This window comes from Homo sapiens, chromosome 16, assembly GCF_000001405.40.
Source record: "Homo sapiens chromosome 16, GRCh38.p14 Primary Assembly".
Taxonomy (NCBI): domain Eukaryota; kingdom Metazoa; phylum Chordata; class Mammalia; order Primates; family Hominidae; genus Homo; species Homo sapiens.
This window is the reverse complement of record NC_000016.10, coordinates 67,313,820-67,330,234: the sequence shown is the minus strand read 5'-3', so window position 1 is coordinate 67,330,234 and position 16,415 is coordinate 67,313,820. Positions and strand designations below refer to the sequence as shown.

The following is a 16,415-nucleotide window of genomic DNA, read 5'->3' as shown; positions in this document are numbered from 1 at the left end:
TTCCTAACATAAACATACACCATTACCTATGAAATCGTCTTGTGAAAAAAAAAAAATCCAACCTGAATCTGATTAAGCCTCATCTAACTACCAATTCATAGGAAGTACAGGGAACACGGGAAAATGTTTAACATCTTAGGAATGCAATGAGCAAAGTTCAGGTTATAGTAAACTCTTTCAAAGCCAGTTTCTTCAAAAACAATTGAAAATGCGAGGGAAAAAAAATGGGGAGCCTACAGATCAAATAAGACTTAAGACATACATCAACCAATTGCAATATATGGACCATATACGGATTCTTATTTTATTTTATTTTTTAGATGGAGACTTGCTCTGCCACCCAAGCTGGAGTGCAGTGACGCGATCTCAGCTCACTACAACCTCCGTCTCCCGGGTTCAAGCGATTCTCCTGCCTCAGCCTCCCAAGTAGTTGGGATTACAGGTGTGAGCCACCATGTCCAGCTAATTTTTGTATTTTTAATAGAGATGGGGTTTCACCATGTTGGCCTGGCTGGTCTTGAACTCCTGGCCTCAAGTGATCCACCCACCTTGGCCTCCCAAAGTGCTGGGATTACAGGCATGAGCCAACGCACCCGGCCATGGATTCTAATTTTAAAAAATTATAGGACAACTGGGGAAATAAGAACACTAGTTAGATATTTCATGATATCAAGAAATCACTGTTCACTTTAGGAGGCTGAGTCACTTGAGGTCAGGAGTTCAAGACTAGCCTGGCTAGCATGGTGAAACCCCGTCTCTACTAAAAATACAAAAAAATTAGCCAGGCATGGTGGCACATGCCTGAAATCCCAGCTACTCAGGAAGCTGAGGCAGGAGAATTGCTTGAACCCTGGAGGCAGAGGTTGCAGTGAGCTGAGATCATGCCACTGCACTCCAGCCTGGGCAACAGAGCCAGACTCCATCTCAAAAACAAAACAAAACCAAAAAAAGAAATTACTGTTAAATTTTTTAGGTTGCATATGTGACTTTTTTTTAAAGTAATCTTAGCTTTTAAAAATACATACTGGCCAGGTGCTGTGGCTTGCACTTATAATCCCAACTCTTAGGGAGGCTGAGGTGGGTGGATCACTTGAGGTCAGGAGTTCAAGACCAGCTTGGCCAACATGGCAAAACCCTGTCACTACTGAAAATACAAAATTAGCCGGGCGTGGTGGCGGGTGCCTGTAGTCCCAGCTACTTGGGAGGCTGAGGCAGAAGAATCGCTTGAAATGCGGAGGTGGAGATTACAGTGAGCCGAGATCACGCCACTGCCCTAGAGCCTGGGTGACAGAGCAAAACTCTATCTGAAAAATAATAAAAACAATAAATAAATAAAATACTACTGAAATATTTATGGAGGAAATCACATACTTGGAATTTGCTTCAAAATAGTCAGTGTAGGGGGTTGGAGGTGGGTGGAGGATAGGTGAGGTATACGTGAAAGAAGCTTGGCCATGAATTGATGATAACTGTTGAGGTAGGCTAATAGAGTTCATTATTCTGTTATCTCTACTCTTGTATATATTTGAAAATTGCCATAATATAAAATTATAAAATAAGTGATAAATGCTTATATATGTAGAGAATATTTCTGGAAAACTATCCAAGATACTGGTAACAGTAATTGCCTTTAGGAAGGGGAACTAGGCCTATGAGACGGGGATGGGGGAGTAAAGACTTTCTTCTCACTGTACAATTTTTATTTTATTTATTTATTTTTTCGAGACGGAGTCTCACTCTGTCACCCAGGCTGGAGTGCAGTGGCGCGATCTCGGCTCACTGCAAGCTCCGCCTCCTGGGTTCACGCCATTCTCCTGCCTCAGCCTCCCGAGTAGCTGGGACTACAGGCGCCCGCCACCATGCTCCGCTAATTTTTTTTGTATTTTTAGTAGAGACGGGGTTTCACTGTGTTAGCCAGGATGGTCTCGATCTCCTGACTCGTGATCCGCCCGCCTCGGCCTCCCAGAGTGCTGGGATTACAGTCGTGAGCCACCGCGCCTGGCCCTCACTGTACAATTATTATATTACCCACAGAATAAATTAATTGAATTATTTTAACAGTCAAAATGAGTAAATATTACATATTTCCCCCCTCTACCAAATTAATCATTAGACTACCGACATGCTCTAGTATATCCTTCCTGTTCTGTTCTTGACTGCACATCATACGCTTCAGCTACCATCTATTTCTGCAGTCTCTTTTACAGCTAAAATTTTCAGCAAAAGTTCTTACTTTCACTGTCTCTTCCCCTCAAATATCATTTCCCTTTTTCATCCCACTCCAATCTGGTTTCCCTCCTCCCCACCCTCCCAAAACTCCCTCTGTCAAGGTCACCAGTAAGTTCCATGTTGCTAAATCTAACAGACACTCTGCATTTAAGTTGCTCAGCCTGTCAATAGCATTTGGCACAGTTGGCCATTGCTTGCTCGATACACTACCCCTTCTCAAATTCCAAGATACCACATTCTTCCTCTATACAACCTCTAAACACTGAAATATTCCAAGGTTGAGTCTTAAGCTTTCTTTCACTTCTCCATCGACATTCTCTCCTTAGCTGAGTTCATCCACTCCCGTAGCTTTAAATACCACCTATTGCTAATGTCTCCAAAATTTTCATCTCTAACCCTGACCTCTCCTCTGAGGTCCAGACCCATATATCCAACTGCCTACTAGGTACCTTACACTTGGATGTCTAATAGACATTTTATTATTTATTTATTTTATTTATTATTATTATTTTTGAGATGGAGTCTCGCTCTGTCGCCCAGGCTGCAGTGCAGTGGTGCGATCTCGGCTAACTGCAACCTCCGCCTCCCGGGTTCAAGCGATTCTCCTGCCTCAGCCTCCCGAGTAGCTGGGATTATAGACTTGAACCACCACGCCGGGCTAATTTTTGTATTTTAGTAGAGACGGGGTTTCACCATGTTGGCCACGCTCAGGTGATCCACCCGCCTCCGCCTCCCAAAGTGCTGGGATTACAGCGGTCAGCCACCGCCCCCCGCAGTTCTGTCACCTGCGGCAGGGTCCCCTGTTAACCTTGTTTCTCCTTCCCTACTTCACACTCCCCTCTTCTCTCTCAATTCCTCGGGCTCTGCCCCACACCCTCCCGTTACTTCAGTTCCTCCACCTCCACCTCCCTCTAACCTTCTGCCTCAAGTTATCCCCCCGCCCCCCAGCCTCAGGTACCGCTTCTCTGTGGTTCCCTCGCCTCTATCTCAGGTTCCCCGCCTTCCACTTCAGTTTTCTTTCCACAGCTTCTGACCCTACGTTCCCAGTCCACACCCTCCCGGCCAGACCCTACCCGGCTGCTCCAGCGTCAGCGCCCCCAGGCGGCGAATGCCTTCCTCGTCCAGCTCCCATTGCTCCGCCATCCCCGCCCGCCGCTCACCTGCCACCGCCCGCGAGACCACCCGGCGCACGCCAGGCCCCGCCCACTGCCCCGCCCCCCGCGCGCGCGCCGCCGCGACCCCGGGAACCGTTATTGGCCGGGTCACAAGCCCGCCCGCCCGCTGCTGGAGCCGCGACCATGGTACGGAGCCCGCTCTGGCGGGGGCGCCAAAAGCACCAAAGCGGCGAATGGGGGCCGCTGTGGCCAAGGATTGGGGCTAAGTGGTTCGAGACCTGGCTCTGGGGCATGGGAGAGAGCGAGGGGCCCCCAGCCGGGAAGGATTTGGGGGGCTGGCTCTGAGGAGTTAGAATAACGCTCTGTCTTGAGGGATGAAGTGTTCTGGCTCTGAGGATGTGGGGGACTCCGGTTCTGAGGGCTGGGCGTGTGCCCCTTTGACGGGGTGGTCTTCATATCTCAGCGCTGGGGGATGCTGACTTTGGGGCAAGGCGAGGGTGTGTGTGAAGGGGAGATCCAAATCTGAAGGATTGGAGCGTGGGGACAGAACTCTAAGGCATGATGGGGAGCTCCAGATCTGAAAGGTTGGGAATCCTGGCTCTGAGGAGTTGGGGTCCTGTCTTTAGAGCATGAGGAAGTTCTAGCTCTAGAAATTGACTTGGACGGGCTGGGCGCGGTGTCTCACGCCTGTAATCCCAGCACTTTGGGAGCCCGAGGTGGGCGGATCACCTGAGGTCAAGAGTTCAAGACCAGCCTGGCCAACATGGTGAAACCCCATCTCTACTAAAAATACAAAAATTAGCCGGGTGTGGTGGCACGGCCTGTAGTCCCAGCTACTCGGGAGGCTGAGGCAGGAGAATCGCTTGAACCCGGGAGGTGGAGGTTGCAGTGAACCGAGATTGCACCACTGCACTCCAGCCTGGGCGACCTGAGTGACAGAGCCAGACCTTGTCTCAAAAAAAAAAAAAAAAAAAAGGTAAGAAATTTACTTGGACGGAGCTTCTTCGGGGGAGAAGGATCAGCGTGGGAAAGAGAGAAGCTCTTTGTAATGGGGTGGGGATGACTGCTTTAGGGCTACCCCGTTTCCTGAAGTCAGTCCGGCAAGAAGCCTTTTGTCTTTCAAGCACCACAGGTTCCCCTAAGCTTGCCTGTGACTGAGGGCTGTCGCCAGGCTGCGATAGCTCTGCACTAACCAGCCCCTGAGTAGTCTTTGGGAAAGAACAGCCGCATCCCTAACCCCTACCCTCACTCCAGCAGGCACTTAAGAGCCCACCTGTGGATGGGACATGTATGTAAGAAGGAGCCAGGACCCTCTTGTCACACCCTATCCTTAACAAGAAAAGAGGGTGGGCTGGGCGTGGTGGCTCACGTCTGTAATCCCAGCACTTTGGGAGGCCGAAGCATGTGGATCACGAGGTCAGGAGATCGAGACCATCCTGGCTAACACAGTGAAACCCCATCTCTACTAAAAATACAAAAATAAAACAAAATAAAATAAAATAAAATAAAATAAAGCCGGGCGTGGTGGCGGGCGCCTGTAGTCCCAGCTACTTGAGGAGGCTGGAGGCTGAGGCAGGAGAATGGCGTAAACCCGGGAGGTGGAGCTTGCAGTGAGCCAAAATCGTGCCACTGCACTCCAGCCTGGGCTAGAGAGCGAGACTCCGTCTCAAAAAAAAAAAAAAAGAAAAAAAGAAAAAAAGAAAAAAAAGAAAGAAAGAAAAGAGGAACTGAGACCAGAACTGGGGCTCACCTTCGAGAAGTAGGTTTTCTTTGGCATCCAACATCTGCACACTCTGAGCACCCCCATTGAGCTCTCAGCCACCTTTAAGGAGAACAGAAAGCAGAATCAAGGGTCCTTCCTTGCATATTTATGCTTTCTGGTCTATGTGAGACCCTTAGTCACTCCATTTGTTACATTCAGCCTTTGCCTGAACATGAACTTGTAGAAAGGCTTTTAGAAGGGCTGGGACTTAGAATTCTAGGTTAGCTCATTAGATTGACTTTTCTGGCTCTGCTTCTGTCAGTTATGCAATCATTTCACAATTTGTCATATTTCTCTTATTACCCCCTTTAACTCTTCTAGTCTCAAATGTGGCATATATAATTGCTCTTCTTTATGTCTGAATATTGCTGTGGGAGAGATGGACCCCATCCCATTCTTTCTTGCATGCATTTATTTTCCTTCCTCAGCTGTCAGAATGGGAAATGCAGGTTCTTTCTGGAGCAGGGAGCTTTTCCTTTCTTAAGTAATCACCTCTTACTTTAACACTGTTTTTCCCCCACGAACGTCTTAATGCAATTTTATAAACACAGAAAGATTGAAAGAATTGTACAGTGAGCACCATATATCCACCACCTGCATTCTACAATCAACATTTTGCTCATATTTGTTTTATCACATGTCCATCTAGCAATCCTATCTGTCCATCAATCTGTCTTTTTTAAATTCATCTCAAAATAAATTGCAGATATCAGTACATTGCAGTCCAATCACTTCAGCCTGCATAATTTTTAATTAGAATTCGATATTGTTTTATGGTTCTTTTTAGGTAAAATTCTATATACTATTTACTACCCTTTAAAAAATATTTTTACAAGGGTAGTGCCCTTTATTTTAAAATTTGATATGGATGGTTTGTATGTTTGATGGCTCTCTACTTTTCCATCGTATTGATAAACTAGGTCATCTTGAAACAAAGAAGACAATTCACTTATAAATAGATGACCTTAAACTTTTTTTTCAACAACCTCTTGTCCAACAGATGTACAGATGACCTTAAACTTTTTTTTCAACAACCTCTTGTCCAACAGATATACAGATGACCTTAAACTTTTAACAATGAGCTGAGGAAGGTTAGTGATCTTTGCTGCCTTTGTATATATGAAAAGGTATCTATAGCATTCATCCTCCAGTAATGTAATGTCTCTGCAGGTAAGATCCCAAGAGAGTTCTGCATGCGCTCCATGGAATGGACAGTACCTCATCTTTTTTTTTTTTTGTAGATCTATTGAGATATAATTCACATACCATACAATTCACACATTTTAATGTGTACAATTCAGTGAGTTTTAGTATGTTCAGAGTTGTGCAACTATCATCACAATCAATTTTAGAACATTTTCACCATCCCCAAAAGAAATCCCATACTCATTAGTAGTCACACCCCATCTCCCCATAGCCTCTCCAGCCCTAGGCAACCACTAATCTATTTTCTATCTCTAGAAATTTGCCTTGTCCACACATTGCATGTGGATGGAATCATATGTGATTTTTTGTTTGGCTTCTTTCCCTTGGCATAATGTTTCGAATTTCATCCATGTTGTTATCATGTATCAGTACTTCATTCCTTTTTATTTTTTATTTTTTTAGAGACGTGCCTCACTCTGACGCCCAGGCTGGAGTGCAATGGCACGATCACAGCTCACTGCAGCCTCAAACTCCTGGGCTCAAGTGAATCTCCTGCCTCAGCCTTCCAAAGTGCTGGGATTACAAGCACAAGCCACCATGTTCATCCCATTCCTTCGTATTGACAAACAATATTCCATTGTGTGGATATACTACATTTTGTTTACTCATCTGTCAGTTGATGGACATTAGGTTTATTCCAACCTTTTGGCTATTATGTTCTATGAACATTAGTCTAGAAATTTTGGTGTGGACATATGTCTTTATTTGTCTTAAGTGTACACCTAGGAGTGGAATTGCTGGCTCATAGTAGAATAACTCCATGCTTTACATTTTCAGGACCCACCAAACTGTTTTCCAAAGTGCCTGCACCATTTTACACCTCCACCAGCAGTGCATGGGGGTTCTGGTTTCTTTGTCGACACTTGTTATTACCTATTGTTTTCATTGTAGCCATACTAATGGGTGTGAAGTAGTATTCTGTTGTGGGTTTTGATTTGCATTTCTCTGATGACTAAGGATGTTGAGCATCTTTTTTCGTTCTGTTGGTCATTTGTATATATTCTTTGGAGAGATGTCTATTTAGATGCTTTGCCAATTTTTAAATTTGGTTGTCTTTTTGTTATTGAGTTTAAGAGTTCTTTATATATTCTAAAAACAAGTTCTTTATCAGACAAATGATTTGCAAATATTTTGTTCCATTCTGTGAGTTATCTTTTCACCTTCTTGATGGTGCCCTCTAAAGCACAAATGTTTTTAAATTTTGATTAAGTTCCATTTATCTATTTTTTTGGTCACTTTTGCTTTTAGTGTCACATCTAAGAAAGTTTTGCCTACTCCAAAGTCATGAAGATTTTCTATTTTCTTCTAAAGATTTTATGGTTTTAGGCTGGGTGCAGTGGCTCACGCCTGTAATCCCAGCACTTTGGGAGGCCAAAGCAGGTGGATCACGAGGTCAGGAGATCGAGACCATGCTGGCTAACACAGTAAAACCCCATCTCTACTAAAAATACAAAAAATTAGCCGGGCGTGGTGGCGGGTGCCTGTAGTCCCAGCTACTCAGGAGGCTGAGGCAGGAGAATGGAGTGAACCCGGGAGGTGGAGTTTGCAGTGAGCCGAGATTGTTACCACTACACTCCAGGCTGGGTGATACAGCGAGACTCCGTCTCAAAAAAAAAAAAAAAAAGATTTTATAGTTTTAGGTCTGTTTCACTTGCAGCTAATTTTTGTGTATGGGTTGAGGTAGGGGTCCAACTTTATTATTATTGTTATTATTATCTTTTATGCATATGGATGGGCAGTTGTCCCAGCACCATTTTTAATAAGGACTATTCTTTGTCCATTGAATCATCTTGGATTGCTTATCAAAATTCAATTGATCATAAGTGTAGGGGTTTTATTCTGTACTCTCAATTCTATTCCACTTATCTTTATATTTATCCTTATGCTGGTAGCACACTGTCTTGATCTAGCTTTGAAATAAGTTTTAAAAGTGTGGGATGTGAGGGTGATCTGGCTGTGACATCTGTCACTCCATTGATTGCCAGGGTTGATTTGGCTGATCTGGCTGTCTAGGCGGGTGTCCCCTTCTTCCCTCAACGCTCCACGTGCGTCCCTCCTGAAGCTGCGTGCTCAGTCAAAGAGGACGACCATCCCCAATAAAGGAGGACCAGTCTTCAGTCAAGGGTATACAAGTATCTGCTCTTCCTAGCTAGAACCTCCAAACAAGTTCTTAAGATCCGTTGTAGGAGAACGTAGGGTAGTCAAGCTTCCAAGACTTCAGACACATCCTAATGAGGCGCTGCATGTGGCAGTCTGCCTTTAAAAAAAAAAAGTGGGAAATGTGACTTCTTAAACGTTCTCCTTTTTTCAAGACTGTTTTAGCTATTCTGGATCCCTTGTATTTTCATATGAATTTTAGCATCAGTTTTTCAATTTTTGCAAAAAGTCAGGATTTTCACAGAGATTGTGTTGAATTTGTAAATCAATTGGGAGACTATTGCCATCTTAACGATATTAAATCTTCCAATCCATGAGCATGAGATATTTTTTCATTTATTTAGGTCTTTTAAATTTTCAACAATGTTTTGAAGTTTCCAGTGCACATGTATTTCATTCTTTTGTTAAATTTATTCCTAAGTATGTTATTTTTGATGCTATTGTAAATGGAATTGAATTGTTTTCTTAATTTCACTTTCAGATTGTTCATTGCTGAAGTATAAAAATACAACATTTTTAAATATTGCTCTGCATCTTTCAACCTTGTTGGGCTCATTTTTTTGTTTGTTTTTCTTTTTTGAGACAGGATCTTGCTCTGTTAGGCCAGAGTACAGTGGCACAATCATAGCTCACTGCAACCTCAAACTCCTGGTCTCAAGCCACCTTCCCACCTCAGGCTCCCAAAGTGCTTGGATTACAGGTGTGAACCACCATGCCTGGCCTGGACTTATTTCTAATAGTTTTCTGGTGAATTCCTTAGGATTTTTTATATACAAGATCATGTCATCAGCAAACAGAGATAGTTTATTTCTACCTTTTCAATCTGGATGCCTTTTTATTTCTTTTTCTTGCGTAGATCTCTTTTTCATTCCCCCTTTAGGAGGAGTCTGGCATGGCTCATGAATCAGCAGAGGACTTGTTTCATTTCAACGTAGGGGGCTGGCATTTCTCAGTTCCCAGAAGCAAACTCTCTCAGTTTCCAGACTCCCTGCTGTGGAAAGAGGCTTCAGCCTTGACCTCTTCAGAAAGCCAGAGGCTATTTATCGACAGAGATGGTTCCACATTTAGGCACGTGCACTATTACCTCTACACCTCCAAACTCTCCTTCTCCAGTTGTGCAGAACTGAACTTGCTGTATGAGCAAGCATTGGGTTTGCAGCTGATGCCTTTGCTGCAGGTAAGATGCTCTTGTTTTCTGGGAGTGGTGGATCAGTAACATGGCTTTACATCACTAAATATTGTTTCCTGTTATATATTGGTTGCTGAGATGACCCTCTTAATGGGCAAATGTAATAAGTGTGTTAAAGTAATAAATAATTTCCTCATTAGTATAGGGGTGAGTAAAAAGGAAAAAAAAGTAATAAACAATACACTGAAATTACCTGCTTTTGTTTTTTCGAGACAGGGTGTCTGCTGCAATCACAGCTCACTGCAACCTCCACCTCCCAAGCCCAAAGGATCTTCCCACCTCCCACCTCAGTCCCTCTGAGTAGCTGGGAACACAGGTGCATGCCACCATGCCCGGCCAATCCTTTCCATGTTGACCAGATTGGTCTTGAACTCCTGGGCTCAAGTCGTCCTCTCTAATTGGCCTCCCTAAGTGCTCCCTCAGCCTCCCTAAGAGCTGGGATTACCGGCATGAGCCACTACACCCCGCCTATATGTTCTTAATAAATGATTTCATCCCAACTGTGCTTTAGTTAGACTAGCAGCCACCATGGACCCAGAATGGGATTTACTATCCACTGAGAGGGTGCCCCTGGCTCTTGAAAATCCTATATTAAGCTACTTCTTGTTTTTTGTTTTTTGAATCTTAAAAGGAGAACACTTTAGATATTTTAGGATTTGCTATGTACATCATGTCTGAGATTTAAAATCTAAAAGATTTATCAAGAATATCACCTCTCATTGTGTCTGTTAGGTACACAACATGCATTTACACCAAAGCAAAAAGTTCTAATCTTGGGCCAAATGTCAAGAGAGAGAAAAAAAAAAACAAGTTCTGCAGAATCTTTCCTTTACCATCACTTCTTTGTCTTCCAAGAAACTTTATTATTATTATTATTATTATTATTATAAGAGCTTTAAATACCTTTACTTATAAACCATTAAAGTACTGCTAAAAACATTACCTTTCTTTCCTAATTTTTCTCCAAGCCACAGAAATCATTTTTGTGGCTGATCTTAAGTAGTTTATTCAGTAGTTTTTGAACAATTCTTTTTAACCTGGAAGAACTAAATATTACAACTGGGAAGGACCATTGAACATCCTCCGTATTAATCCTACCATCTGTACAAGGTGTTTATTCCGTCTCTATCAGCACTAACCCAACAAGCTGCAGTGTAGCTCAGTGTACCACCAACTGTGCCTCAACACTTTTTAGAAGAAAATTGAGATAGATCATGCGTATCTGGGCCATAGAGGAATGAGAACATTTCATAGTGCATGTTTTCATGGATGCTTACTAAATAATTCAGTGTTTTCTCTTAAAAGTCATTCTATATTTGGAAATCAGAAATTTTCTTTTTTTTTTTTTTCTTCGAGATGGAATTTCGCTCTTGTTACCCAGGCTGGAGTGCAATGGCGCCATCTCGGCTCACTGCAACCTCCGCCTCCCAGGTTCAAGTGATTCTCCTGCCTCAGCCTCCTGAGTAGCTGAGATTACAAGCACCCGCCACCACTCCTGGCTAATTTTTGTATTTGTAGTAGAGACGGGGTTTCACTATATTGGCCAGGCTGGTCTCGAACTCCTGACCCCAGTTGATCCACCCGCCTCAGCCTCCCAAACTGCTGGGATTATAGGCGTGAGCCACCGCACCTGGCCTAAAAATTCTTAATATACTACCAGGCAAGTTGTTGTATTTTTTTTTCTTTTTCAAGCTACCTTCTTGAATTTAATTTTTTTTTCAACTGCCCCAGGAATGGAGTACTAGAATTGTTTACAAGTGGCTTCAAAACCACTTAAATGGCCTGTCATGACAGGATTGCTGATGACTCTACGCCAAGGCATCATTTTGAGGTAGAAGGGAGGGAGTAACTTGCTTGTTGCAGAAAATCAGAGATCAAGGCAATTTTTAAAGAACATGTTAAAGAATACAAGCCTATTCTACAGTGTATTAAGCCCTTTAAACCCTTTGCTGTCCTCACTTCCCAAATTGAAACAAAATATATCAAGGAAGCAGCTTCTTTTTTTTTTTTTTTTTTTTTGAGATAGAGTCTTGCTCTGTCCCAGGCTGGAGTGCAGTGGCGCTATCTCGGCTCACTGCAACCTCCACCTCCTGAGTTCAAGCAATTCTCCTTCCTCAGCCTTCAAGTAGTGGGATTACAGGCTTGTGCCACCATGCCTGGCTAATTTTTGTGTTTTTAGTAGAGACAGGGTTTCACCATGTTGGCCAGGCTAGTCTTGAACTCCTGAGCTCAAGCGATCCTCCCGCCTTGGCCTCCCAAAGTGCTGGGATTACAGGCATGAGCCACCGCGCCCAGCCACAAGCAGCTTCTAAATGGGGGGCTGCTCCTCAGAAGCCAATGGGTTGGTCCAATTCCAAAGTTCCACATTGTGTGAGGAGTAGAAGTATTTGAAGAATCATGTGGCTCTGCCTCCCTAAAAAAAGACTGTAAAGCAAGTGCTTACACTTTGAAAATGGTGTTGTCAAAGAAATAAATATTTGAGTTGGCCCAAGTGAAATGGTGTTTATTTCTTGAAGCAGAGTGTAAATACAGCTGGGAACCAACAGTCACCTCAAGCTAATCAACAGCTTCACACATTTCCACCACTTTCCCACTGCTAAGGTCTATCAGATACTCAGATTTTTTTACTAAATGAGCAAACACTTTGCTTGGAGAAATTGGAGTTTGCCAATTCTTAGTCTTTAGACTCTACTCAGGCAGCCCAACTTAATGCATTCACCCAGTATTTATGAAGAGCATTCTGGGTTCCAGGCATTATTCCTGTGGGCTTTGGGGAAAACATAGGATGATCCAATAAAAATATAATGTGAGCGACGTATGTGAGCCACTTATGTAATTTTATACTTTCTATAGCCACATCTAAAACAGTAAAAAGAAACAGATGACATCAATTTAATAATATATTATTATACTCAAAATATTAACTGTATATTCAAAGTATTATTCAATATATTCAGAATGTTATTTCAACATGTAATCAATATTTAGAAATTGAGAAATTTTACATTCTTTGTACCGTGTTCAAAATCTGTTGTTTTATACTTACAGCACATCTCAGATTCAGACTGTCACATTTCTTTCTTTTTTTTTTTTCTTTTGGAGACAGAGTCTCACTCTGTCGCCCAGGTGAGAGTGCAGTGGTGCTATCTCGGCTCATGGCAACCTCCGTTTTCTGGTTCAAGAGCTTCTCATGCCTCAGCCTCCCAAGTAGCTAGGATTACAGGTGTGCAGCACCACGCCCAGCTAATTTTTATATTTTTAGTGGAGATGGGGTTTTGTTATGTTGGCCAGGCTTGTCTCAAACTCCTGGCCTCAAGCAATCTGCCCCTCAGCCTCCCAAATTGCTGGGATTACAGATGTGAGCCACCGTGCTGGGTCTCAGACTGTCACATTTCAAGTAGTCAATAACCATACGTGGCTAGTGGCTACCATATTGGGCAGCATATATCTAAACTGCTCTAAACTGTTAGTACTCCTCACCATAGAGTCCTTCAGATTCAGCCCCTAACAATAAAAATGTGACTTTGCCTCCTGCTAACTAAGGTTCCCATGCACTCAACAAATGCATATTCTACTCAGAATTATCTGTGACATAGTAGGCTTTGATGGAAAGCCATGTAGAATGATCAACAAGCAGCACAAGATGGGAAGCTTCTGGAGTACAGGCACCCAGGCTCACGCTGCTGCTCTGCTCTCCACCCCTCCCCATTCCCCAAATCCCCCAACTCCACCTGCCCACCCAACCCCCACCTCTAGCCTGTAGTTGTGGCCTCCAAAGGATACACTTGATGCTTATTAGTGTCTTATTGTGTATTAAGCACCAAACTTACACCAAGTTCTGGAGATACAGGAGTGAACCCTGTAGCTATACAATGTCAGGTAGAGATAAATGCTATGAAGACAATTAAAACAGTGCTTCCTGTGTAATAATGAAGGAGGAGGGCATTTCTGTATTCCAGGACTTCTTGGAATTTCAGATTATGTTTATATTATTTTCTTTTTTTTTGTAGTTTTTGTTTATTCAATCAGTCTTTTAAACAAAAGTATATTGCTACATTTTCCCCAGCATATCATTGTTTTACTGTCCTTCTAGTACTAGAATTTAGTTGAAAGAATAAAACATTTACATCGAATCTGCTTGTCTTTTAATATTCAGATGGATAGTATGTGGCAAGAAGGGTAAGGGGGATAGCAAGTGACTGGAGCCAGGGAAGTGACTTCTGTATTGAGTGATCAGAGGCTGGGCATGGTGTCTCACACCTGCAATCACAACACTTTGGGAGGTCAAGGCAGGAGGATTCTTGAGCCCAGGACAAGACCAGCCTGGGCAACATGGCAAAAGCTGTCTCTACAAAAAAATTTTTTTAATTAGCCAGACATGATGGTGCATGCCTGTGGTCCCAGCTACTCAGGAGACTGAGGTGGGAGGATTGCTTGAGCCCAGGAGTTTGAGGCCACAGTGAGCCATATTTGCACCACTGCACTTCGGCCAGGGTGACAGAGCTAGACCTTGTCAATAAATACTTAAATAAATAAGAAAACAGTGATCAAACAGGCCTCATTGACAAGGCAACATTTGAGCAGAAATCTGAATGAAAAAGGGGCAAAGGGGTAAGGCATGCAGGTATCTGGGGAAAGAACTTACAGACATTAGTAATAGTTAGGCCAGACGCGGTGGCTCACACCTATAATCCCAGCACTTTGGGAGTCCGAGGTGGGTGGATCACTTGAGGTCAGGGTTGGAGACCAGCCTGGCCAACATAGAGAAACCCCATCTCTGCTAAAAAACAAAAAAATTAGCCAGGCACGGTGGCTCACACCTGTAATCCCAGCACTTTGGGAGGCCGAGGCAGGCGATCACGAGGTCGGGAGTTTGAGACCAGCCTGGACAACATGGTGAAATCCCATCTCAACTAAAAATATAAAAATTAGCCGGGCATGGTGTCGTGCGCCTATAATCCCAGCTACTTGGGAGGCTGAGGCAGAAGAATTGCTTGAACCCGGGAGGCGGAGGTTACAGTGAGCAGAGATCGTGCCACTGTGCTCCAGCCTGGGCAACAGAGCAAGACTCTGTCTCAAAAAAACAAACAAAAAAACACAAAAATTAGCTGGGCATGGTGGCTCATGCCTGTAATCCTAGCTGCTGTGGAGGCTGAGGCAGGAGTGTCGCTTGAATCCAGGATGTGGAGGTTGCAGGGAGCTGAGATTGAGCCACGGCACTCCAGCCTGGGCAACAGAGTGAGACTATCCCAAAAAAAAAAAAAAGAGGAATAGTTAAACGCTAATACCCTGAGGTTATAGTGGCTCGTTGGCCCACTTGGAGGCCATTGTAAAGTACAGTGAGAGGTAGGGAGATGTCAAAGGTTGACAATGAGATCAGAGGAAGCCAGATCTTGCAGAACCTTGAAAGCCATGGTGAAGACACAGGATTTATTCTAAATGTTATAGGTAGCTCTTGGAGGCTGAGGCAGGAGGATTGCTTGAAGCCAGAAGTTCGAGACCAGCCTAGGCAACAAAGTGAGACTCCAACTCTACAAAAAATTAAAAAAGAAATTTAGCTAGGCATGATGGCTCATGCCTATAGTCCCAACTACTTGGGAGGCTAAGGCAGGAGGATCGCCTGAGCCAGGGAGGTCAAGGCTGCAATGAACTGTGTTTGCACCACTGTGTTCCAGCCTGGGTGACAAAGCAAGACCCTTCCCCTCTCTCTCTCTCTCTCTCTCTCTCTCTCTCTCTCTCTCTCTCTATATATATATATATATATATATATATATATAATGCTAAGTGAAAAAAACCATCATGTCAGCTAAGTGAAAGAAACAGTCTTATTGTATGATTATATGTATAGAAGATAGACACAGCTGGGTGCGGTGGCTCATGCCTATAATCCCAGCACTTTGGGAGGCCGAGGTGGGTGGATCCCTTGAGCTTAGGAGTTCAAGACCAGCCTGGGCAACATGACAAAGCCCCATCTCTATAACAAACAAACAAACAAATAAATAAATAAAATGGCACCATATATTGTATGATTCTATTTATCTAAAATGTGCAGAACAGGCAAATTTATAGAGACAGAAGATAGATAAGTGGCTTCCTAGGGCTGGGGCTCAGGGTAGGAAGGATGGGTGAGTGAGAATGGAGAATGAGCAGTGACTGTTATTGGGTACAGGGTTTCTTTTAGGGGTATTGAAGTAGATTGTGGTGATGGTTGCTTGATTCTGTTAATAGATTAAAAGCCACTGAATTGCATGCTTTAAATGGGTAAGTTTTATAGTATGTGAAATATATCTCAGGAAAAGAAAGAAAGGAAGGAAGGGAAGGGAAGAGAGGGGGAAGGAGGGAGGGAGGGAGAGAGAGAAGAAAGGAAGGAAGGGAAGAAGGAAGGAAGAAAGAAGGGGAGGAGGGAGGGAGGGAGAGAGGGGCTGGGCACGGTGGCTCACACCTGTAATCTCAACACTTTGGGATGCTGAGGTGGGAAGATCACCTGAGGCCAGGAGTTGGATACCAGCCTGGGCAACATAATGAGACATCATCTCTACAAAAAATTTAAAAATTATCCAGGCATGGTAGCATGTGCCTGTAGTCTCAGCTACTCAGAAGGCTGAAGCCAGAGGATCATATGAGCCCAGGAGTTCAAGGCTGTAGTGAGCCGAGATTTCACCACTGCATCCCAGCCTGGGTGACACAGCAAGATCTTCTCTTTAAAAAAAAAAAAAAAGGCCGGGTGCAGTGGCTCATGCCTGTAATCCCAGCACTT

The 16,415-nt window shown here is 43.7% G+C and overlaps 2 protein-coding genes and 1 pseudogene across 15 annotated transcripts in view, besides 2 other annotated features; 2 read left to right on the top strand and 1 right to left on the bottom strand.

Moving 5' to 3' along the window:
* The window catches only part of LRRC36 (leucine rich repeat containing 36), a 58,390-nt gene extending 54,970 nt beyond the window's left edge, over positions 1 to 3,420 (bottom strand). For all 14 annotated transcript variants that reach the window (NM_018296.6, XM_005256025.3, XM_005256027.3 and 11 more), the window contains exon 1: positions 3,303 to 3,420. In NM_018296.6, coding sequence (NP_060766.5) covers positions 3,303 to 3,372 — 70 coding nt within the window. In that variant the 5' untranslated portion in view covers positions 3,373 to 3,420. The remainder of the gene's footprint in view (positions 1 to 3,302) is intronic.
* Positions 3,378 to 3,527: a silencer, noted in NCBI's record as "silent region_7602". NCBI's record gives its function as "represses an Ori minimal core promoter by ATAC-STARR-seq in GM12878 lymphoblastoid cells {active_cell/tissue: GM12878}" and the evidence as "EXISTENCE:reporter gene assay evidence [ECO:0000049][PMID:35858748]".
* Positions 3,494 to 16,415, top strand: part of KCTD19 (potassium channel tetramerization domain containing 19) — a 37,310-nt gene continuing 24,388 nt past the window's right edge. The window contains exons 1-2 of the mRNA NM_001100915.3: positions 3,494 to 3,530; positions 9,350 to 9,646. Coding sequence (NP_001094385.1) covers positions 3,528 to 3,530; positions 9,350 to 9,646 — 300 coding nt within the window. The 5' untranslated portion in view covers positions 3,494 to 3,527. The remainder of the gene's footprint in view (positions 3,531 to 9,349; positions 9,647 to 16,415) is intronic.
* Positions 5,283 to 5,362: an enhancer, noted in NCBI's record as "active region_10964". NCBI's record gives its function as "activates an Ori minimal core promoter by ATAC-STARR-seq in GM12878 lymphoblastoid cells {active_cell/tissue: GM12878}" and the evidence as "EXISTENCE:reporter gene assay evidence [ECO:0000049][PMID:35858748]".
* RN7SKP118 (RN7SK pseudogene 118) lies at positions 8,248 to 8,573 on the top strand (annotated as a pseudogene).